Source organism: Homo sapiens, chromosome 1 (assembly GCF_000001405.40).
Source record: "Homo sapiens chromosome 1, GRCh38.p14 Primary Assembly".
NCBI classification, from domain to species: Eukaryota; Metazoa; Chordata; class Mammalia; order Primates; family Hominidae; genus Homo; species Homo sapiens.
Window position 1 is genome coordinate 18,491,086 of NC_000001.11, and position 26,049 is coordinate 18,517,134.

The 26,049-nt window shown below is 42.7% G+C and overlaps 1 pseudogene; it reads left to right on the forward strand.

Annotated features, from left to right (window-relative positions):
- On the forward strand, positions 21,923-22,310 carry DYNLL1P3 (dynein light chain LC8-type 1 pseudogene 3; annotated as a pseudogene).

Consider the following 26,049-nt stretch of genomic DNA (forward strand, 5'->3'; position numbering starts at 1 on the left):
CTTTGTGTTCTTGAAAACAGTTTATCCTCTAAAGATTTTTGATTCTTTCTCCTGCAATCATGTTTATATGATCACATTCAGCAATCTTCACTTTGTAGATAAAATGAGGGTCAGCTTTAACCTGGCCTCAACTTGAATCAGAATACGTTCTGAGTGAATCCTTTTAAAAACAAAACAAAAACTCCTGTTATAGAATCAGATTTGAGGGAGCCAGTATCAGGCACCACCCACACCCTGGGGTTAAGTGTTTAGCTTCCTCAGTTGTACCCAGAAACATTTAAACCCATATCCGGTACCTTTTGACCACTTGCTTTCAGTTCCTAAATTTGGTCTCTCTCCCCTGGATGACACAGTGGGGTGGATGGTGGAAGATGGTGACAAATTAGGACAATATCAACCTCAAAAAGCCCAGGCAAGTAATGTCTTTCGTACAGATTGTCTTTTTAAAAAAACACTATTGTGGCATAATACATATAACACAAAACATACCATTGTAACCACTTTTAAAAGCATGCCATTCAGTGGCATTAAGTGCATTCACAACAGTGCATCTATTTGTGTTGTATGTGATTACAAAAGATACACAAACATTTATTGTAGAATATGCAACTGGAAAAATCCAGAGAAGCCCAAGAAGACAGTAAAAATCATTTCCTCCCAGAAATAATTTGTTATTGTTTTGACTTCTTTATTTCCAGTTTCTTATTACCCATAATTTTAAAAATAAAAAATGGGATCTTATACATAAGATAAAATTTACCACTTTTGCTATTTTTAAGTGTACACACTTCAGTGGCAATAAGGACTTTCACATGGTCATGCAACCACCGTCATTATCCATCTCCTTTTCCATCATCCCAGGCTGAAACTCTGCACGCATTAAAGGATACCCCTCTGTCTCCCGCTCCCTCCATAAGTAAAAGTTGTCTTTAACTTTGCAAAGCATCCTTCACGAGGATGAGGAAGTTCTTTGCTCAGTCAGCACAGAAAATTGGAAATGTGCCTTAAGCACAAAGACATACTGGTTTTCATTCATTCTGGAAAGTTCCACAAACAACGCGGCACCCAGCTCAGTAGGATGCTCCAGGGCAAGAGAATCTGCTCTCTCCAGAGGACATGATGAATAGCTTTCTTCTCTAAGTCACCAGCGCTCCCTCCTTATTGCCATGGGGAAAGACAAAAGGAAAATCACCCTCTCTGTTCTCCAGGTACTCCCTCCATCCTCTCGCTACATGAATTACTTTTGGTGTTGTAACAAAAATATAGGTTGGAAATGATAGAGGTATAAAACATGGGGATGATTTTGTTCCATCGTGCATCCTAATTATGCAATGACAGGCACTTTTGGGTACGTGGAACTAAGTAACTACGATCATGGAGTAAGAATCGCTTCAAGGTTGTTTGACACCCAGGACAGGGACTGTATTTAAGAAGCATCACGTTGCTTTAACCACAGGGATGAATGGGAGTATGGAGGATTGAAAGACCAAGGCTTGGGTGCAAAGTGGGCATCAGGGAAGGTTTCCAGAGGCAGCAAGGTCCACAAAGGGAGTGACAAGGCTAGCACATCTGCCTGTCAAATTGACAGGCATGGGTTCCACCCTTCATCCATCAGATGTTCATTAAACCAGTACTACTTGCAAGGTGCCAGGGGAACTGTTGTGAATGGCTGAGCCCATTGTGCTAGGGATGCTGAGAAATAAACAGGTGAACAATTACAGAAAATGATGGGAGATTGGCACAGATTCAGCGCAGGAATCAAATGTAATGCTGGGGTGGAGAGTGACAGCGGGGGTACACTTAAGATATTTCTCAAGGTGGCTTCCCCAAACAGGTGGCATTTAAGCTGAGATGTGAACAATAAGGAGGACTTGGCCAAGAGGGAGGAAGTGTGGGGTGGGGGAAAGGGAGGGAGGGAAGATGAGAGAGAGAGAGAGGCACAAGAGGAAGAGCACTCTAGGGGAGGGAACACCAAGAGCAAAGGCCCTGTGTCCTAGCCCAAGTGAAGGCCAATGTGGCCAGAGAGGGGATAGGAGACCAGGTTACACAGGTGTTGTCAGCCAAGATAAGAAGGGTGAATTTTATTCCTAGTCCACTGAGAAGCCTTCAGCAGATTTTGTTTACTTAATTTTTACAATAAATATCTTATTTTACAATAGTTTTAAATGTACAGGAAAGTTTCAAGGATAATACATCGCACATACCCCACACCCAGTTTCCCCTGTTGCAAGGGTCCTCAACCCCTGTTGGGGTTCTGGTACTGGTTCATGGCCTGTTAGGAACCAGACCGCATAGCAAGAGGTGAGCGATGGGCGAGTGAGCATGACTGCCTGAGCTCTGCCTCTTGTCAGATCAGCAGCAACACTGGATTCTCATAGGAGAACGAACCCTATTGTGAACTGTGCATTCAAGGGATCTGAGTTGCATGCTCCTTATGGTAATCTAATGCCTGGCAATCTGAGGTGAAACAGTTTCATCCTGAAACCATCCCCTGCCACCCCAGTTCATGGAAAAATTGTCTTCCACGAAACCGAAACCGGTCCCTGGTGCCAAAAGGGCTGGGGACCGCTGCCCTATTGCTAACATGTTGCATTAGGATGGTTCACTTGTCACAACTAAGGAGCCAGCATTGATACATTATGATTAACTAAGGTCCATACTTGATTCAGATTTCCCTTTTATCTGATGTCCTTTGTACTCCAGTGTTCCATCCAAGACACTGCATTACTTCTAGTTGTCATGTCTTCTTAGGCTTTTCTTGGTAGTGATGGTTTTGATACAGGGCAGGCAAACCTCCAAGTTGGGGCTTATCCTGGGAGGGTTCTTCACCCAGGAAAGAATTCAAGGGTGAACCAATGGTGATAAACAGCAACTTTTATTGACGCAGCAGTGCACAGCAGCAGCAGCAGCGGGAATGCTCTCTGCAGAGCAGGGCTACCCCATAGGTAGTGCACCCAGAGTAGCAGCTCAGAGGCAACTCTGTGCTCATATGTATACCCACTTTTAATTACATGCAAATTATGGAGTGGTTTGGCAGGGCACAGTGGCTCATGCCTGTAATCCCAGCTGAGGTAAGTGGATTACTTGAGGTCAGGAGTTCCAGACCAGCCTAGGCAACATGGCAAAACCCCATCTCTACTAAAAATACAAAAATTAGCTGGGCATGCCTGTAATCTCAGCTACTGGGAGGCTGAGGTGGGAGGATAGCTTGAACCCGGGAGGCAGAGGTTGCAGTGAGCCAAGATCATGCCATTGCACTCCAGCCTGGGCGATAGAACAAGACTCCACCTCAAAAAAGAAAATGGGGTGGTTTATGCAAAAATTTCTAGGAAAAAGGGTGGCAACTTCCAGGTTGTTGGGTTGTTGCCATGGAAATGGGTAGTAACTTCCAGGTGGCCATGGTAAACTGACAAGGCACACTGATGGGCGGATCTTACAGAAAGCTGCTTCCACCCTGACCTGTTTTAGCTAGTCCTCAATTTGGTCTAGTGTCCGAGCCCCACCCCTAGAGCTAAATCTCATTTCCTTCCTCAGTTTTCCAGAGCTTCCTTGTTTTTGGTGTTCTTGACAGTTTTGAGGACTGCTGGTCAAGTGTTTTGTAGACTGTCTTTTCAACATGGTTTTGGTTGATGTTTTTCTCATGGAGTTATGGGTTTCTTGACTGGGCTTACGGGTTTTAGGAGGAAGACCACAGAGGTAAAGTGCCCTTCTCCTCATATGATATTAAGAGTGCATGCTACTAACACAACTTATTACTGTTGATGCGGACCTTGATCACCTGGCTGAGGTGGTGTTTGCCACATTTCTCTGCTGTGAACCTATTCTTTTTTCCCCTTGCCATACTCTACCCTAGAGAAGGAAGTCACTGTTTGCAGCTTATAGGGTGAAGTGTCATGTTCTGCCTCCTTGATGCAGGGAGTATCTACAAAAATTATTTGGAACTCGTCTCTGTGGCAGATTCATCTATTCTTCCTTATTTATTTACTTATTCAATCATCTATTTATATCAGTACAGACTCATAGATATTATAGATACAGATATCATAGATATTTTCTTTATACTTTGAGTTATACTGCAATACTACATTGTTTAATTCCTTAATCAGATTATCTAGTTTGGGCCATGAGGAGCTCTTTCAGTTGGCACCTCTGTCCTTTTGGTACACCCTCACTGATTTCTTTTTAGCATTTTCTTACTCTGACGCAGACTCATCTTCTGTATTTCCAGCCCAGTCTTAGGACCAGACATTTCTCCAGGTAGCAGTGGTTTATTTTTTTAGAGAAGAATATTGAAAACCAAACTCTGGACACTGGGTCTTCAGAGGTTTTGGCACACACTGGTGGTCTAGGGAAGAAATCACAATTTTTTTTCTTTCTCTTCTTAGGCCCATAGTTGAGATACTCTCCTGAAAACAAAAGTCAGATTAACAGAAGAAAAACAAACTGAAGTTTATTAACACATGCTATACCCATCATGTGGGTGAGGCTTCAGTTCAAAAGTATTTCTCTCTTAAGGCAGTGGCTTAGGAGTTTTGCCTGAATGGTATTTTAACAAAGACCCATAAATCCTATGTTGGAGAGAAATATTTTGGTTTCCTTCAGTGGCATTGTCTAGTTTCAGTTTTAAATGTGTCCTCTGGTTGCCATGGAGAGAATGTATTGCGGGGTGGCCAGAGGGGAAGTCAGGATACCAGCGAGAAGAATACAGAGGTCATCCGGGCAAGAGGCAATGGCCTTGATGCCACAAGGACACAGGGGCAGGCAGAGGTGAGTCTGAGTAGTGGCAGCGTACCTACCAGATGGCTCCTGCTGCCCGGCCTGCCTCTGCCCCTAACCTCTCCAATACATCTGTTTTGTATCAATTATCCTGAATTTATTTCTGTTGCTTACAACCAGGAGCTCTACCCAACAGAGTTTAGCAACTCTCACCTTTGACTTCTACAGTGGGCTCCTAGAAGATAGGGTCTGGGTGTGGTTTATTCCCCAACTCTTGCACAGAGCCCAGCACAGGGGCTGTGTTCAGGAGATGCTTGATGAGCTGGATTTGTGCTCTTCAATGAACAAAACAGTTGGCTGTGCAATTGAGCCCCCTACACAGGGCTACAGGGGGCACCATGGTAACCCACTTAAGGAAATAAACTGTTTGCAAGATCTTTCCCCACATTCATTTGCATGGAAACAATTAGTGTGCTAATTAAAATGGAGTCTTATCTGTTCATTAAAGTAGGCCCAGCAGGACATCCAGTTGGCAAGACTTCGTTGGCAAAAAGTTTGAGTTTCTCCAGGTGGTAGAAAAGAAGCCATTTTCATCTCTCAACAAATGCTTAATAATTCAGGTGATGCTGAATCTTGCTGGCCCTCTGTTCCATGGGTTCCCATTAGTGAGGTTGGCAAGCACTTGTCAACACCTCCATGTCTCATCTCAAATGAGTGACAATTTGTAATCCTTCTCCCAGCCTGGTCTGGCTGAGTTTGTCTTGCTCCATAAAAGAAGAGTTTGGGCCAGGCACGGTGGCTCATGCCTGTAATCCCAGCACTTTGAGGGGGCTGAGGTGGGTGGATCACCTGAGGTCAGGAGTTCAAGACCAGCCTGGCCAGCATAATGAAACCCTGTCTGTACTAAAAATAAAAAATTAGCTGGGTGTGGTGGTGCATGCCTTTAGTCGCTACGGGGGAGCCTGAGGCAGGAGAATCGCTTGAATCCGGGAGGCGGAGGTTGCAGTGAGCCAAGTTCACGCCACTGCACTCCAGCCTGGGCAACAGAAGGAGACTCTGTCTCAAAAAAAGAAAGAAAAAAAGAAGAGTTTGTTGCTCAAATAGTATAAACAAGATTTCAGAAGGGAATGTTTAACCTACTTAAGAGAACACACTGTTTTCAAGCTATTAGTATCATTTGCATACAATGAATGAGCTAATTGCAGATAAGCCTTATTTCTCCAGTTAATGGGGATCCAGCAGGACCAGTGCTTGGCAACGCTTTGCCAACAGTTAGTTTGTATCACCACATGTTCTTGAAAGGAATAATGTAGCAATTCACTGAAAGCAGTCCCCTATATTCAGATATTTAGGTAATTTTCATTAATTCTCACTAGGCCTTAATTTTGGCATCTACAAAGTAGGGGTAATGCCTATCTCATAGAGTTACTGTGAGGAGTTAATGAGTAAGTTTATGTCTGTAAATGGGAGGTAGATTCACTCTGGCCTTCCCCCAAATTTGATCGAATGAGGAGATAGACTCTAGGCTCAGCTGCGGCTGGGGAGGACCAGGCATCCTGCTGACTGATTCAGCCAACACTGTATTTGTGGAATGAGAACAGCATCACCTTGAACCTGGTGTATTAGTCGGTTTTCATGCTGCTGATAAAGACATACCCAAGACTGGAAAGAAAAAGAAGTTTAATTGGACTTACAGTTCCTCATGGCTGGGGAGGCCTCAGACTCACAGCGGGTGGTAAAAGGCACTTCTTACATGGCAGCAGCAAGAGAAAATGAGGAGGAAGGAAAAGCAGAAACCCCTGATAAACCCATCAGATCTCATGAGAGTTATTCACTATCACAAGAATAGCATGGGAAAGACCCACCCCCACGATTCAGTTACCTTCGCCTAGGTCCCTCCCACGACAAGTGAGAATTCTGGGAGACACAATTCAAGTTGAGATTTGGGTGGGGACACAGCTAAACCATATCACCTGGGCTCTGCTACCAACTAGCTGGGCAACAGGGGGCCAAACTTCTCTAATCTCAAGTGTCTTCTGACAAATAAGCTGGGTGCATTTGCTTTGCGGTTTTAAGCTTTAAAAAAATTTTTTTTTCTTTGCTTGTTTATATTCTGCTGGAGAGGAAAAACTTTTCCTCTACTCTCTTTGGTTCAGTGATTGGAAGTCTGCAAATTAAAGTAACAAAAAAGATAGATTCACAAGAGGAATGATACCATTTTTATTAATATTCATGTAGTTCGCAGAGAATTGAAACTCAAAGAAGTGGTTAGACTTGGGGACTTATATACTCTTTTAAGAGAGGAAAAAATGTTGGGGTTCAAGGGATAAGAAGTTATGGGAAGTAACTAGAAAATATATGGGGAAAATAACGGAAGATAAAGACTATTTGAGTGAAATCTGTTTATGACAAACTCATCTTGGTGTCAACTCCCAGTCTTTGATGTTAAGAGTCCTCCTCTCTCCTGGAACAGGAGTGTGAGGGAACCCATTACTCAAAGAGAAATTTATGTCCTGCTTTTAGGCAGATAAGGGGAGGCCAGAGAACGCTTCCTTCGTCTGTTGAGCCTAAGTTTTCTTCATGTTTTGGAGTGGCATTTTTTTTTTTTGGTAGACATGGGGTCTCACTCTGTTGCCCAGGCTTCAATGCAATCATGGCTCACTGCAGCTTCCAACTCCTGGGCTCAAGTGATCCTCCTGCCTCAGCCTCCCAAGTAACTGGGACTACAGGTGTGTACTGCCATGTCTGGCTAATTTTAATTTTTGTAGAGACAGGGTCTTGCTGCGTTGCCCAGGCTGGTCTCAAACTCTTGGCCTCAAGCAATTCTACCTCAGCCTCCCAAAATGCTGGGATTATAGGCATGAGCCACCATGCCCAGCCTTGGAGTGGCATATTCTGATCTCCTTCGATTTCAAGTGGAACTACAACCTATATAGCCCAGAGTTTTACTGGGTTGAGGGGGTCTGGCCCAGAGACAGAGTCCCCCAGCTGAGCTTCTCCCTTGACTAGGGGGTGGGACCTTGAAGCAATGCCATGGACCTCTGGGAATCCAGATGGAAAAACACTCTTCTCTCATTCATTTCACTAATACTCACTGAGCACCCACCCAGCTTCAGATCCTGTTTCAAGCACAGAACAAATAAATGAAGAAAGAAGACCATTTTGGATAGTCAGAAATGCTATGAAGACAATAAATAGGTGACACAACAGAGAGAGTCTTCAATTGGGGTTCCCAAGAACAGACTCTGAGAAAAGGGTTTGAGTGCAAAATAGTTCATGAAGGAGGTGATTCTGATATAGGTAGGAGGCAGGAGGCAAGGAAATACTGGGTAAAAGAGGGCAGTTCCCCGGCAAAGGCCCCAACCTCAGGCCTGAAAACCCACAGCCCTAAATGAGAACAGGAATTTAGTGCCCAAATGTTACCTTTTGGCCTGCCATGCCCGCCTACCCTGTACCCATATAATTCCCAAACCCCAGGCTCCACAAGCAGACAAGCAGATGAACAGAAGAGCAAAGGAAGAGAAGAGTGGCACAGAAGAGAAGGAGAAAAGAGAAGGGACATCTGAACATTGAGAGAAGTTTGACTGGGGACAGTCAGAGAGGAAATCGACCATAGAATGGCCAAACTCCAGGGGAATATCTTCCCACTCCTTCCCCTTTCCAGGTCCCCATCCATCCTGCTGAGAGCCACCTCCATCACCCAATAAAATCCCCACATTCACCATCCTTCAAGTCCACACATGACCTGATTCTTCCTGGATGCTGGACAAGAACCCGGGTAGCAAGAGGGCACTGAGCTGGTTAACACTTAAGCCATCTTTGGATGGCAGAGCTAACAGACCACTGTAGACTACCCACTGGGGCTTTGAAATTAACAGGCATCCACCCCTAGATGCTACCCTGGGGCCGGAGCCCAAAAACACTCGCCCTGGTTCCTGCACCTGCCTGTCTACGTGCTCCCCCTCCCATAAGGGGTTTGCGCATGTGCTTGAACAGACAAGACACACCCCTGCCACACATCCTGCGAGGTGTGTCGGGGAACTCTCCCATTTCAATTCCAAGAAACATGGATAGTGGAGTGTGGAGTAAAATAAGGAATGGAAAAAAATCACTAAAGAGTGTGTGTGAGACTCAATCCTGTTGGGGAAGTCAGGGAGCCAGTGCAAAGCCTACCTGAGTTATCCCACCAGAGAAGAGAGGGGATTGGGGTATTTAATCACTGGCTCCCATCAGTCAGTGTTTGAGAGCTGTTCTTGGGCAAGAGGGGAGGAACTGGAATTTCCTGACGCTTCTTCCTGCTGCATGTGGGCACCCAGAGAAAGCCCTCAGGCAGAGTCAAAGGTATTAAGACCGAGGGGCTGTACACAGCGTGGGGTCCCTGCAGAAAGTGTAGGGAAGAGAGGTACCAGCTTCAATGGTGTACAACTGCTAATGTTTCTCTCCACTGGAATTCTTTTTCTCAGGGGTGAAGCAGAAGGAATGGACCATGAGATGATGGCTGCTTTCTTTTCTCTTTTTCTTTTGAAGTAATTTCAAGTTAACTGGAGAGTGGCAAGAATAGTCCCAAAACCTTTTCTTCTGAACTTTTTTCTCTATGAGCAGATTGGTGACAGGATGCTTCAACACTCTCAAATTCTTTAGTATTTATTTATTCCCTGCAAATAAGGACATCCTCCCACACAACCACAATACAACCATCAAAATCTAGAAATTAATATTGATATGTTACAACCACGCAACCTGCCAACCCCAACTATCTTAATAATGTCCTTTGCAGCAAACTAATCCAATCAGGGTCCTACATTACATGCATCACCAGAGGTCATTTCCGTCTCCTTCAATCTGCAGCAACTCCACTGACTTTCATGACCTTGACACTTTCAATGATTTCTAGCCAGATATTTTGTAGAACATCCCTCCATTTGGGTTTGCCTAATGTTCCTCCATAATTAGATTCAAGTTATGCATTTTGGCAGGACTTATCACAAAAGTGCTGCTGTGTTCTTCTCATTGCATCCTGTCAGGTGACATGCAATTTTGATGTGTCCCATTACTGGCAGCATTGATCACTTGATTGAGGTAGCATCTGCCAGCTTTCTGCATGTAAAGTTACTCTTTTCCCTATATAAGTAACAAGTATTTTGTGGTGAGATATTTTGAGACTCTGTAAGTAACCTGTGCCTCATCAAACTTTCACCCACTGGTTTTAGTAGCCATTGATATTTCTTGGCAGAAATTAGTTATTACTATGATGGTTGCCAAATGGTGATTTCCTAATTTTATCATTCCTTCTACAGTTATTAGTTGGCCTTCTACAGTAATACCTTTCTCTTCCCCCCATTATCTATTTATTTATGTATATCCATGCGGACTCATGGACTTCTCTTTTATTCAAGGATTATAATCTCCTTTAACATAGTTTATGTTGAGGTTCAAATTGCTTCAGATCTGGCCAGTGTGCACGCCTTTAAGCTAGCTTCTGTATAGCTTTGTTCTGTAGGGGAAAAAAGAGCCACATAGGAACATGGTTAAAGATGAAGTCTAGGCTGAGTGCGGTGGCTCACGCCTGTAATCCCAGCACTTTGGGAGGCCAAGGCGGCCAGATCACTAGGTCAGGAGATCAAGACCATGCTGGCTAACACGGTGAAACCCTGTCTCTACTAAAACTACAAAAATATTAGCCAGGCATGGTGGTGGGTGCCTGCAGCCCCGGCTACTCGGGAGGCTGAGGCAGGAGAATGGCGTGAACCCGGAAGGCGGAGCTTGCAGTGAGCTGAGATCCCACCACTGCACTCTAGCCTGGGTGACAGAGCGAGACTCCATCTCAAAAAAAAAAAAAAAAAAGATGAAGTCTAGCTTCTGCCTGATTCCACAGAGAGTTCTGGTGCACACCGCCTGACCCCAGCCAGTTACGGGAGGGATGGCTTCAATCATTCCAGGTCATTCCTCCTGAGAAGGCAGCAATTTGCACAGGACCTGGGGGATGGGCAATCTACTATAAAAAGGAAGCCAGGGATCTGGGTGTGGCACCAACAGCGCCTGCTACATGTCCATTTTCTCTAAGTTTGAATAGAACACATACTTATATTTCGTTCAACTAAGTTTTTCTCTAAAGGACCAGATAGTCAACATTCTAGGCTTTGAAGGCCATATGGTCTCTCTCACAATTGCTTAACTCTGTCCTTCTAGCACTCAGGCAAGCATGGACAATATGTAAGTGAACGGGTGTTGTGTTTCTATAAAACTTTATTGACAAAGCAGGCAGAGGGCCAGATTTGGCCCATGGGCTATATTTCGCAGGTCCTTGCAGCCTCTTCTGCCAGGTTATAAGTCCAAACAAATTTAGGCACTTTACCATGATCAACTTATGGACATTCCCTCTAAAACACCAAGTTTCACCTGTGCCAGCCCCTCCCATTGTTTTTCAAGCCCTAAGTAAAGCCACCAAACAGAGCGGATGAGATCAGTTTTCTCCCAGTTTGGGACCTGGAACTGGATTAAGGAGCAAATTGGTCAGTCAAGGGTTCACACCCTCTAAGGACCCTGAACACATTACTGGAATCTTAAGGAGATGGAGAAAATTGAACAGAGAAGCTTAAAAAGATGACAACATCACATGCAGAAGAATGAATTTGGATTCCTGCCTCACATTGTATATAAACATTCACTCAAAATGGATCAAAAACTTAAACGTAAGCCTAAAACTATAAAATTCTATAAAAAAAAAAAAAGGCATGAATCTTTCCTACCTTGGATTAAGAAATGGTTTCTTGGCCGGGTGCGGTGGCTCACGCCTGTAATCCCAGCATTTTTGGGAGGCTGAGGCGGGCAGACCACGAGGTCGGGAGAGGGAGACCATCCTGGCTAACATGGTGAAACCCCATCTCTACTAAAAATACAAAAAATTAGCCGGGCGAGGTGGTAGGCGCCTGTAATCCCAGCTACTCGGGAGGCTGAGGCAGGAGAATGGCGTGAACCTGGGAGGCGGAGCTTGCAGTGAGCCGAGATCGCGCCACTGCACTCCAGCCTGGGCGACAGAGCCAGACGCTGTCTCAAAAAAAAAAAAAAAAAAAAAAAAAAAAAATAAAGAAAGAAAGAAAGAAAGAAAGAAAGAAAGAAAGAAAGGAAGAGAGAGAGAGAGAGAGAGAGAGAGAGAGAAAGAAAGAAAGAAAGAAAGAAAGAAAGAAAGAAAGAAAGAAAGAAAGAAAGAAAGAAAGGGTTTCTTAAATATGGCACCTAAAACACAAGCAACCAAAGAAAAAATAGATAAACTCAACTTCATCAAAATTGAAAACTTCTATGCATCAAGCAACACTGTGTTGGTTAATTCTATGTGTCAACATGGCAAGCCTACCATATTCCATTACTTATGCAAAGCACTAGTCTAGATGCTGTTGTGAAGGTATTTTGTAGATGTGGTTAACATCTACAATCAGTTGACTTTACGTAAAGGAGATTAAACCTCCATAACATGGGTGAGCCTCGTCCAATCATTTGAACGCCTTAAGAACAAAACCTGAGGAATGTGGAAGAAAAAAGAAATTCTGCCTTAAGATTACATCATTAATTCCGTCTGTGTTTCCAGCCTGCTGGCTTGCCCTAGGAATCTCAGACTTGCCAGTTCCCACAATTCCTTAAAAGAAATATTTTTCTGTTACTTCTATTGCTTCTGTTTCTCTGGAAAACCCTGACTGGTTCAGACACTATCAAGAAAGTAGGCTAGGCACAGTGGCTCATGCCTGTAAACCCAGCACTCTGAGAGGCCAAGATAGGCAGATCCCCTGAGGTCAGGAGATTGAGACCATCCTGGCCAACATGGTGAAACCCCATCTCTACTAAAAATACAAAAATTAGCTGGGCAGGGTGGCGTGCACCTATAGTCCCAGCTACTCGGGAGGCTGAGGCAGGAGAATAACTTGAACCTGGGAGCCAGAGGTTGCAGTGGGCCAAGACCGTGCCACTGCACTCCAGCCTGGTGACAGAGTGAGACTCTGTCAAAAAAATGAAAGAAAGAAGGAAAGAAAGAAAGAGAGAGAGAGAGAAACGAAGGAGGGAGGGAAGGAGGGAGGGAGGGAGGGAAGGAAAGAAGGAGGGAAGGAAGGAAGGGAGGGAAGGAGAAAGAACCAAGAAAGTAAAAAGATAATCCACACAATAATAAGAGAAAATATTTACAAATCATATATCTGATAAGGGTCTACTATCCAGAATATATAACAAATTCCTATAACTCAATAGTAAAAAAAATTGAAAAGTGGGCCAACATTTTTAATAGACATATCTGCACAGAAAATATACAAATGGCCAACAAGCACACAAAAAGATGCTCAACATCATTAGTCATCAGGGAAATGCAAATTGAAACCACAAGATACTACTTCACATCCCCTAGGATGGCTACACTTTCAAAATAAAAAATAACACGTGTAGGCAAGGATGTCAAAAAATCAGAACTCATAAATTCCTGGTAGGGGGGTAAAATGCAGTAGCCACTGTGGAAAATAGTTTGAAAGTTCATCAGAGAGTTAAATAGAGTTGCCATATGATCCAGCAATTCCACTCCCAGGTATATACCCAAGAGAATGGAGAACATATGTTCACACAAAAACTTGTGCACGAGTGTTCATAGCAGCATTATTCATAATAGCCAAAAAGTGGAAACAGCCCAGATGTCTATCAAGTGATAAATGGATAAACAAAATGTGGCATAGCCATAAAAAGTAACAAAGTACTGATATACACTACAACATGGATAAACCTTGAAAATATTATGCAAAATTTAAGGAGCTACACAAAAAGACCACATATTGCAAGATTCCTTTTATACAAAATGTCCAGAACAGGAAAAATGCAGATACACAGAACATATGAGTGGTTGCCAAGGGCTAGAAAGAAGGCGAAATGAAAGGTGACTGCTAATGTGTACAGAGTTTCTTTCTGGGGTGATAAAAATATTCTAGAATTAAAAAGTGATGATAGTTGCACAACTCTGTGAATATACACAAAAAGAATTGCTGAGTCGTACACTTTAAAATAGTAAATTTGATGGTGTGTTTGTGCATTTTCACACTGCTGTAAAGATACTACCTGAGACTGGATAATTTATAAACAAATGAGGTTTAATTGACTCAGTTCTGCATGGCTGGGAAGACCTCAGGAAACTTACAATAATGATGGAAGGTGAAGGGGAAGCAGGCACGTCTTGTATGGTGGCAGGTGAGAGAGAGAGAGAGAAGGAGGAAGTGCCACTTTTAAAACCATCAGATCTCAGGAGAACTCACTCACTATCATGAGAACGGCATGAGGGAAACCACCCCCATGATCCAATCACTTCCTACCAGGCCCCTCCCTCAACATGTGGGGATTACAATTCGGATTACAATTCAAGATGAGATTTGGGTGGGGACACAGAGTCAAACCATATCAGATGGTATGTGAATATCTTAACTTTTTAAAAAGAAATGATAGAGGCTTATTTTAGCTGACAAGCATTATTAATTACTCACCCCAGCAGCTCGTGCTGGCCCCAGCAGTAGTAGAATCCTCAATTTTTATCTGAATGTATGGCCATCTGGGATAAAGAGCTCCTTTCCCATAGCCTGTAGCTAGATGTGGCCAAATTCTGGCCTAGAAAAATTGCTGGCCTTCCCTCCCTAAGCAGGGAGGAAACCTGCCTTTTTCCACCCTTTCCCTTTCATATTGCCCAGAACATGCCATGATACTTGGTACTCAAGCAACTGTCCTGGACCATGAATTGACAACCAAACATGGTGTTAGCAAGACAGAAGGAACGTAGGTCCCAGATATTGATGAACTGCCATGTTCAGTCCACTGCCTACCTTAGACTTCTTTTACAGTAGAGAGAAATACACATCTTTCCTATTGAAAGAAGAAAGAAAAGATGACAGTGTGTATTTCACTCATGCATCTGCAATTTGCTCATGCAGCAGCTCATATCTGCATTAGTCAGCATCAGCTGGACTGGCTTGAAGCCTGGGAGCTAGAATCACCTGTGAGTGAATAAGACTGGAGGGTGATGGTGACTGTTGGCTGGGATCTTAGCTGGGGCTGTCAGAGAGAACACTTAAACACACCCTGTCTGTGTGACCTGGACTTCCTCACAACATGGTGACTGAGGTTCTTTTGTGGTTGTTTTTTGTTTGTTTTTGAGACAAGATCTGTTGCCCAGGCTGGAGTGCAGTGGTGCAATCACAGCTCACTGCAGCCTCAACTTCCCTGGGCTCAAGCAGTCCTTTCATCTCTGCTTCCCAAGTAGTTGAGACTATGGGTACCCACCACCACACTGACTATTTTTGGGGTTTTTGGGGTTTTTGTTAGCTTTTTTGTTTTTGTTGTTTTTTTTTTTTTGGTAGGGACAGGGTCTCACCATGTGACCCAGACTGTCTCAAACTCCTGAGCTCAAGTGATTCTCCCACTTTGGCCTCCAAACTTGCTGGAATTACAGGCTTGAGCCACTGCACCTGTCAAAGTGACTGAGTTTTTAAAGGGAGAAACAGAAAGATCCCCAGGCAGAAATTGTATCACCTTTTATGACCTGGCTGCAGAAGTCATGCATTTTCACTGCATTCTATTCTTTAGATACGAATCCCTAGGTCTTGGTCGTTAGTGTTGTTCAAATAATCCATATCTTTACTGATTTTTTGTCAACTTATTTTATCAATTACTGATACCGGAGTAATATGAGCTTTCTATTGCTGCTATAACAAACTGCCACAAAACGTGCAGCTTAAAACAACTTAAATGTATCATCATGCAATTCTGTAGGTCAGAACAGTTTGAGATGCGTCTTAGTGGGCTAACATCAAGGTGTTGGCAGGACTGCTTTCTTTTCTGGTGGCTCTGGGAAATTACCTGTTGTCTTGCCTCTTCCAGCTTCCAGAAGCTGCCTTCATTCCTTGGTTTGTGGTCCCTTCCACCATCTTTGAAGCCAACAATGGCAGATTGAGTCTATCTCACATTGCATCACTTGACCTCCTCTTCTTCCTCCCTCTTCCTCATTCCACTTTTGAGGATCCCTGGGATTACATTAGGCCAATTCAACCTAGGATAACTTCCCTATGTTGATGTCAGCTATTAGGTTGGTGAAAATAATGGCAAAAACCACAATTACTTTTACACCAACCTAGTAATTATCAACCTTAATTCTAGCTGCAACTTTAATTCTCATTCACCGTGTAAGGCAACAGATTCATGGGTTCCAGGGAGTAAGACATGATCAGCCTTGGAGGCCCATTATTCTGCTTACCACAGGAATGCTGAAATCTTTGACCATAATTACATAGTTGTATTTCTTCTTGCAGTTCTATTAGTTTTTGCTTCATGAATTTTAAGTCCTATTATCAGTTGCAAAAAGATTTAGGATTATCGTATCTTCTTGATGAATTGATCCCTTTTTCATGATGATATATTTCTCTCATATTTCTTGTCCTGAAATCTCCTTTGACTGATATTAATACAGCCACTTTGACTTTCTTTTGATTAATGTTAGCATGGTATATCTTTTTCATCCTTCTTTTTACTTTTGTCTTTATATTTAAAATAGGTTTTGGCTGGGCATGGTGGCTCATGCCAAAACCAATCACTAACACTAACCTATATTAGCACTTTGGGAGGCCGAGGCAGGAGGATCACTTGAGCTCAGGAGTTTGAAACCAACCTGGGCAACATAGTGAGACCTCATCTCTACTAAAAATAAAAAATAGGCTTCTTCACAAGAGATGCCAGCTCATACCAGTCAGAATGTCTATTATTAAAAAATCAAAAAATAACAGGTATTGGTAAGCCTGTGTAGAAAAGGGAACACTTATACACTGTTGGCAGGAAAGTAAATTAGTTCAGCCCCTGTGGAAAGCAGTTTAGAGATTTCTCAAAGAACTAAAAATAAAACTACCATATTCAACCCAGCACTCCCACTACTGGGAACCTACTCAGAGGAAAAGAAATCATTCTACCAAAAGGCATCAGCACTCATATGTTTATTGCAGCACTATTCACAATAGCAAAGTCATGGAATCAACCTAGGTGCTCATCAATGGTGGATTGGATAAAGAAAATATGGCACATATACAGAATCCTACGCAGCCATGAAAAAGAATAAAATTGTGTCCTTTGCAGCAACCTGGATGTAGCTAGAGGCCATTATCCTAAGTGGATTAATGCAAGAACAGAAAATCGAATACCACATGTTCTCACTTGTAAGGGGGAGCTAAACAGTAGGTACATCCAGGCACAAAGATGGAAATAACAGACACAGGCAACTTCAAAAGAAAGGACAGTGACAAGGATTGAAAAACTACCAACTGGGTACTATGTTCACTGTTTGGGTGATGGGTTCAATAGAAGCCCAAGCCCCATAGTTACTCAGGCACCCACTGAATCTAAAATAAAATAAGTTTCTTAAAGACAGCATTTGATTAGGCCTTGCACCCTTTTTTATTGAAACCGAAAGTCTGTGACTTTTAATTAGTATCATTAGACCATTTATATTTAAAGTAATTAACAATATGGTTGTGTTTGAATATTCCATCTTGCTATTTGTCTTCCACTGATTTCATCTGTTATTTTTTCCTTATTTCCTCTTTTCCCACCTTCTTTTGCATTCATGTTTTATTATTTCCTTTTATTTCCATTCTTGGCTTATTAACTATATTTCCTTTTTGGTATTGTTTTGTTTTTCAGAGGTTGCTCTTGAGTTTACAATATACGTTTTTAACTTGCTGCCATTGAAAAATATTACTTCACACATGGGGTAAAAATCATAAACAGTGTTCTTTTATCCCACGCTCCCATCTTTTGTGCTGGTGTTATCATACATTTTATTTCTGCAGATGTTACAAACTCCAAAATACATTGTTATTTTTACTTTAGCCAGTAATCTTTTAAAGAGATTTAAAAACTATAAAAATATATATTTTATACTTATCCACATATTTACCATTTCTGGCACTTTTTATTCCTTTGCATAGACCCAATTTCTATCTGGTGCCATTTTTCTTCTGCCTGAAGAAACTACTTTTACATATCTTATAGTTCAAGTCTACTGGTGATTAATTCTCTAAGATTTTGTTTGTCTGGAAAAAAACTATCTTGCCTTCATTTAAAAAATTGTAGGTATTATTACAAACGGACAGATTGTTTTTATTTCATTATTTTTTAAATGTCACCTTAATAGTCTTCCAGATTACATAGTTTCTTATGAGAAGACTGCTTTCATTCTGATCTTTCTTATTTGATATGTAATGTGTCCCCTTTCCCTGGTTGCTTTTAGTATTTTCTCTTCATCACTGATTTTTAGTGATTGTATTATCATGTGACATAGCTTGGGTTTTCTTTACATTTATGCTTTTGGAGGCAGTTCATTGAGCTTTGGATCTGTGGATTTAGTTTTCATCAAATTTGAAAGGTGGTTCACACCTGTAATCTCAGCAGTTTGTGAGGCCCAAGTGGGTGGATCATTTGAGCCCAAGAGTTCAAGATTAGCCTGGGCAACATGGTGAAACCCCATCTGTACAAAAAAATAAAAAAATGATCTGGGTGTGGTGGCATGCCCCTGTGGTCCCAGCTACTTGGGAGGCTGAGGCAGGAGGATCGCTTGAGCCTGGGAGGCAGAGGTTGCACTGAGCCAAGATTGTGCCACTGCACCCCAGCCTGGGTGACAGAATGAGACTGTCTCAAAGAAACAAAAGCAAACCCAAATCGTGGCTTCCCCAATCTTGGAGAATCTTCCCCCAATCTTGGCTTCCGGACTTACCAGCTTCATGACTTCAGATGCATTATCTCTGTTTCCGAGCCTTAGAGATGAGCCTTAGAGAATAGCCCACTTCGTAAGGCTGCTGTGAGACAAAATGAGGCAGTACGTGCAAAGAACTTTGCACAATGCCTGGCACATCAACGACCTTGATGAATATTAGCTGCCGTAGAAAGAGGAATGGACGGTCCATACTGGCCACCAGGCTGCAAGTCTTATTGCTGATGTGCAGAAGAGAGTCGACTGCAGGTTGGCTCTCCACTGGGCCTTCTCCCTTCAGCCTATCTCAGCACAGTTTATATAACCAGACCAGCAAATTCAGGTTTCTCATCAGCACCTAGCACATGAATTTGTTTCTACATGGATTCCCGACATAAAACACTGTCTGACTGAATAAAGGAAGGAAAGCTCATCTGGCTGATTCGTTTGTTGACTGTTTTTATACAAGTAACTCTTGCAAACAAGGGGAGGCAGGAATCTCTATTTGAACTGACTTCTGTGTACTGTGGCCAGCTGGGATGCTGGCCAAATTTTCTAGGCTGGAAATGAAAAAGAAATATTATTTTCTTGTCCGTAGGAACCAATCTACCTTCAGGCCTGTGTATTTCATAAGGGTCACTGCTAGATTCCATATTTTGTTGATTTGAGGGAGTCTGGGGCAACATTCCAAACCTTTTTCTAAATGTTGTTAGCATTATTGTCCATGTAAATGAAGGTTTGTTTCATGGTTTCTGCTAAGATGACCATTTCAGATGGCAACCATCCCTCGTCATGGGCTGGTCCCCCTTTCATCACTAAAAGGCTGATAAGCCAGAGGAAGGCAGATGGTGCTGGGTACTGGTGGGCTCACAATTCCTGGCACAAAAAAAAAAAAAAAAAAAAAAAAGCAGAATGTTGCAGTCAGTCTCCCCTGGTGGTCTTGGTCACACTAAGACTAAGAAAGAGTTTGTTTGTTTGTTTGTTTGTTTGTTTTTGTTTTTGTTTTTTTTTTGAGACAGAGTCTCGCTCTGTCGCCCAGGCTTGAGTACAGTGGTGCGATCTCAGCTCACTGCAAGCTCCGCCTCCCGGGTTCACGCCATTCTCCTGCCTCAGCCTCCCGAGTAGCTGGGACTACAGGCGCCCGCCACCACGCCCGGCTAATTTTTTGTATTTTTAGTAGAGGCGGGGCTTCACCGTGTTAGCCGGGATGGTCTCGATCTCCTGACCTCGTGATCCGCCCGCCTCGGCCTCCCAAAGTGCTAAGAAAGAGTTTTGAAAATGGAAGACAGAAGAATGAAAAAGCAATTATTGTTAACCCTCCCATTAACTGGGCCATGTTACAATGGAGGAGGAAGGGATCGCTTTGCACATAAGACACCTCTGCCCTTTCTTTGGTCGGCTGCTCACCTGGCCACTTTGGGGCTGGGACTAGAAACATCTTGTGACCAAGGCATGGCGAAAGGAAAAGGGTCACCTGCTCAGAGGAAGTGTATCAGGTCGTCTAGAAAACAATGGCACACTCATTTCTGTATATGCTGTGCCATGTTTTTGTCTCTTAAAAGGCCACATGCCTCCCCACTTTGTAGAGAATTTAGCAAGCAAGATCCTCCTCAAATTCATAGTTGCCGATGACATTTAGCCTGACTCCTGGGCTCAGAGCTCAGCTTGAGTGTTGGGTTTAAGAACACAGAAACAGTCTGTTCTCTTAAGCAGATCAACTACCATTCCCCTGCCTTTGGTGCATGCCATTGGTGCATAAATGATGCTAATTTAATCCCACATACATTGCCTAAGACTTAGCCTCCAACTGCTAGGGCTGGGTGGGCAGTGTGTGTGTGTGTGTGTGTGTGTGTGTGTGTTGGGAGGGGTGTGTGTGTGTGTGTGTGTGGTGTGTGTGTGTGTGTTTGGAGGTGAGGTACAGGGATAAAAAAAATAAAACACAGTGAATTCCTTTAAAATAAAACACAGTGACTGCCCTTAAAAACTCACCCCTGGAGACCATCCAGCAGATGCTTTTAGGATGCTCAAGGCTGAGACAGCCAACAAATTGACCCCAGATTCTCCCTGTCACCCCCAGAGATTCATACTGCTGGGTTCCCTAGAGCGCCTACTGCCATCTTGTGGGAGCACAGGAAGCATGGAGGAAAAAGGACACATAGTTTGGGGGACAGTTGGAGATGTCCACACCCTCTGCCTCCCCCTACCACTTTCCTGTGTCACCAGGGTAACCAACACATCACCCACAGTCCCCGCAGGTACAGAAAGCCAGGCAGCCGGAAGGTGAACGCTGATGAAAGATGCTATCTGGAAAACTAGTGCCAAGCCAAGCTGACATAATTAGCTGTATTTGTGGTCCTTGAGGTTTGGCAAGTGAGGATGGGGTGGGAGGAGAATTGGGGAGGGGGTATCTTCTTCCAAAGCCTCGGAATAAAGAGAGCAATTTGGATGGCTTCCAGTTAGCGATAGCAACTTTCTGAGTGGCTATCTAATTAGTGCCTGCCCAGCTTCTGAAAGACGGCTGCACACAGCAAATAAAACAGGGACGCTTGGCTTCCCCTTAGCTCCAGCCCATGGACTTTCAGGATGTCGACAGCTTCAGATTCAGCATTCGTCGCCACTATTCCAATGCGTGGGGCCGTTTTTCCAAAAAAAAAAAAAAAAAAGTGTCATTCACATCATTGGTGTTTGGAGTGCAGCTTGATAATGTTGTTGACATCCCAAATACCCCAGAGCCATGTCAGAGAAGATGTTAGTTCTCTGAGGTTGATGGGGAAAGGAGGAAGATGGATGCAACAACAAACATCCCTTTAATTGGTTTTAAATTTTCCAGTGAGCCAAAGTTTCTTCTGTTTGATCTTGAGCAAGTGGATTACCCTAGATTATTCTCAGTTTCCTCATCTGTAAAAGAGGGTTGATAATCAGCACAACCTGAAAGATTGCTGTGCGAGTCTATGACAAGGGTATAGTTTGGTAGATGTTCAGGAAATGGTCCATGATGATGCTGACAATAACAACAATAATGGTGATGATGACAATTATCATGATGGGATGGTGACGATGATGGGGAAGGTGAAAATGACAGTGACGATACCTGCTTCCCCTCAGCGATCTTGTTTCCTAGAGTGAGGAGGTTATAAAAGACAGACCATTGGTAGATGAGCTCATGCACTGCTCCTCATTGTACAATGAGGCAAAATAAGGGCAGTTGCCATATGGAGAGAGTACTTGACCATTTTTGAAGTGCTTCCACACATGCTATCTCATTTACACCATTCCACTGTTCTGTGAGGAAGTTACTATGACCACCCTTAGTTTACAGATGAAAAAAAACCATGAGACTCAGAAGATTAAGGCCCTTGCCCAAGGTTCCACCAGTGATAAGTAAAATAGCCAGGTCTTAAACTTGAGCCTTGAGGCTTCAAACCTGATGTTCTTCCTGTGGCACAAATAGTGCCTCCCATTAGATGTGCCACAGCTTCAGTAGCGACAGCAGCTCCAGCCCCGCCTGAGCAATGCTAGCACCTCCCCCAGGAGACTGTTGCCGTCGGCCAGCCCCCTTCTCCACGGTAACCATGTGCCACCGAGAGACCATGATCAAAAATGCAGACATGTCGGAAGAGATGCAACAGGACTCGGTGGAGTGCGCTATTCAGGCACTGGAGAAATATAACATAGAGAAGGATATTGCAGCTCATCTTAAGAAGGAATTTGACAAGAAGAACAATCCCACCTGGCATTGTATCGTGGGGAGGAACTTCGGTAGTTACATGACACGTGAAATCAAACACTTCATCTACTTCTACCTGGACCAAGTGGCCATTCTCTTGTTCAAATCTGGTTAAAAGCATGGCCGGGTGTAGTGGCTCATGCCTGTAACTCCAGCTGTCGACATCCTGAAAGTCCATGGGCTCGAGGCGGGTGGATCATGAGGTCAGGAGATCGAGACCATCCTGGCCAACATGATAAAACCCCATTTCTACTAAAAATACAAAAAGCTGGGTGTGGTGGCACGTACCTATAATCCCAGCTACTAGGGAGGCTGAGACATGAGAATCATTTGAACCCAGGAGGCAGAGGTTGCAGTAAGCCGAGATCGTGCCACTGGACTCCAGCCTGGCAACAGAGTGAGACTCTGTCTCAAAATAATAATAATAATAATTGCTCTCCTGCAGGCCAGGGCTTTGAGTATGCCCAGACTGCACCAAGGCAGGTGATGTCTGATGGGCACATGGAACTCTGAATCCCCCTGCCCAGCCACCAGAATCTGGCCCATCCGTGGCTTTTCTTGGAAGTATCTGGGCAATGGTATGTATGTTGTATAAGAACCTACCTTCTCCTTTCGTCAGAACAAACCCAGATCTCCCAATTTGAGTTCTTGCGAGAGAAACCTCAGATTTGAGCAAGGGCAGTGGATAACAAAACAGGCCAACTCTGTGGGCTGTAACATCCAAGCTGACCTCTTCACTAACATATCTTGCACCCTGTACCCCTCCACATGATCTCTCTCTCTCCAGGAGGATAGTTGGATTTCTTACATGACTACTCAGGGCTCGCAAGAGCACAAAAGCAGAAGCTTCCTGGACTTCACTTCTTCTGCATTTCTAGCTAAAGCAAGTCAGTAGGCCAGCCCTGATCCAACATGGGATTAAATTACACAAGGAAATAAATACAGGGAGGTGTGGGTCATGGCAGCCAACCAAGCAAATAGTAAGAACTCCCAGCTGCTCAATCTAGCACATTGAATCCAGATTCTGTGGAAAATCCCCCCAAAGAATAAATCAAAGATTAATTCAGAAATGTTATGTAAAATTATGTTTTTCTATTCCTGGTCTAACACATTCTGAGTCTATGCCCACCTATCTCCCCATTTTCTGCTAACAAGAATTTCCAAAAAAAATCACTCTTTAGGTGCATACAATGCTTGGGTCTAACTTTAAGCACAGCTCTAGAGATAGACTAGATGCAGTGGAGGTGGTCAGGAAGAAACATGGCTTCCTCTTACAAAGTGGTCATCCCAGAATTTTCAAACAAGGCAAGATTCGCTGACATGGGAGGCTCTGTGAACTGGGGATTGCTTCAGCCACTAAAAGCTTCTCCAAAAGTCTACATTTTAGAGCTGAGTCCCACTCTTTTAATGCATGTGCTTGCTGTCACTCAAGAGACCCATAAGGCTATGAATTCAACTTATATTGTAGTTCAGCAGCCTGTGGTTCAAGCAATGCAACTAATTTTCAACTATGCTAGATCTACGTCTAACAGAGATGAGAAATTACATTTAAAGCAGCCATAGAAGTTTTCTGGTTCTCTTAAGTGGCCTGGAGTCATGAATACAGAATGCTGAGTTTATTGTTTTCTTCCTTTAAACTCTACAGTATAGTTAGAAGTAGTTAACATACCCCACTGTGCTTATATTAGGAGCACTTCAAAAAGTCCCATCCCCAGAGAAGTGTCACAATTTTACCTAACTGGCAGCTCCCTGAAAAAGCCATATTTGCAAATATTCTCATTATTTAACCCGAGACAGAATTTGATAACTGGAAAAAGTCATATCCCAGAGAATTTGTTAAAAAAAAAATGGTGGAAATTATTGAACATCACAGACCAGTTGGAAGAAATAAGAAGTTGATCAAAAACTTAATGTTTAGGAAATGAGATGTTCATAGGGAACTTTGAAAACCTCCAACATATCCCTGGGAATCTGGAATGCCATGAACAGGTGCATGGCTGTGCATGTGCCCAGAAGACACCAAGTAAGGTCTTAATCTCTCACCTCTGGATGACCTGAGACCCTACACAAGCAGGAAGTGAGAGTAAAGCAGAGTTGTAAACTGACAGAACATTGAAGATGCACACAGAGCTCCTTGACAAAGGGCAGAAGTCCTATTTGTTCAAGACATTTAAGGGACTCTGTCTAATCATTAGCTTGACACTAGGCTAAACAGGCAGCCACACATGACAAGTAATTTAGACTTTATACAGTTAGTCCAGAAATGTCACTAAACAAACATATAGGGGGAAAGAAACATCAACAGCCACAAACCCTGGGGAAGTAATCCAATTTCTAGAGTAGCCACATTATATTATTAAAAATGTACCGTTTTCAACAAAAAAAAATTAAGACACACAAAGAAACAGCAAAGAATGGCTCATACACAGAGAAATAGGCAACCAAACTGTCTTTAAAGAACTAAATGTTGAACTTACTAGGAATAGCCTTTAAATCTACATTATAAATTAAATATATTCAAATAAATAAATAAAATTATGTTTAAAGAATTTAAGGAAAGTGTAAGAACAATGTCTTATGAAATAGAAAATACAAAAAAAGAGATAGAAATTATAAGACGAACCAAATAGAAATTCTGAAGTTGAAAATTAAAACAGAAAGGAAGAATTTACTAGAAGAGCCCAGTAACAGATTTGGATTATCCTTTCGCGGAACAGAAAGTAAAATGAACAATGATAAATAAACAGAGTCTCAGAGACCTATGAGACATAATCAACCATACCAACATATGAATAGTGAGAGTCTCAGCAAGAGAGGAAAAAATAAAGAGCAGAAAAAAAAATTTGAAGAAATAATGGCAGAAAATGTCCCAAATATAATTTTTTTAACCATGGTAATCTGTGCATTTGGAAGCTCAGTGAACCCAAGGAGGATAAATCCAAAGAGATCCACACCTAGACAAATGTAGTCAAAAGAGATAGACAAGGCCAGGCACGGTCGCTCATGCCTATAATCCCAGCACTTTGGGAGGCTGAGGCAGATGGATCATGAGGTCAGGAGATTGAGACCATCCTGGCCAACATGGTGAAACCCCGTCTCTACTAAAAATACAAAAATTAGCCAGATGTGGTGGCGTGCGCCTGTAGTCCCAGCTACTCAGGAGGCTGAGGCAGAAGAATTACTTGAGCCTGGGAAGTGGAGGTTGCAGTGAGCCAAGATCATGCCAGTGGACTACAGCTTGGGCAACAAAGTGAGACTCCATCTCAAAAAATAAATAAATAAATAAAAAGAGAGAGAGACAAAGAGAGAATCTTGAAAGTAGCAAGAGAGAAGAAGTAACTCATCACATACAAGGGATTATCAATAAGATTAACAGCTGATTTCTCATCAAAAACCGTGGATGCCAGAAGGCAGTGGGATGGCATATTGAAAATAATGGCCAAAAAACCTGACAACCAATAATTCTATATCCAGCAAAATTATCCTTTAAAAATGAAGAAGAAATTAAGCCATTTTGAGATAAATTAAAGCAGAATTTGCTGCTAGAAGACCAAAAAAATATTAAATGAAGTCCTTCAGGTTGAAATGAGAGGATGCTAGACAGGTAATTTAAATCCACAGAAAGAAACAAGGATAACTGTAAAAGTAACTGCATAAGTAAATATGCAAGATACTATAAATGTATTTCTTATAAATTTCTGCTTCTATCTGATTTAAAAGTTAACTATATGTAGCAATATTTTTAAAAACTATGTTAAAGATATTATAATATATAAGGATGTAATTCATATGAGAACAATAGCACAAAAGAGAAGTGAGGTAGTATTGGTTGGTGCAAAAGTAATTACCATTTTTGCCATTA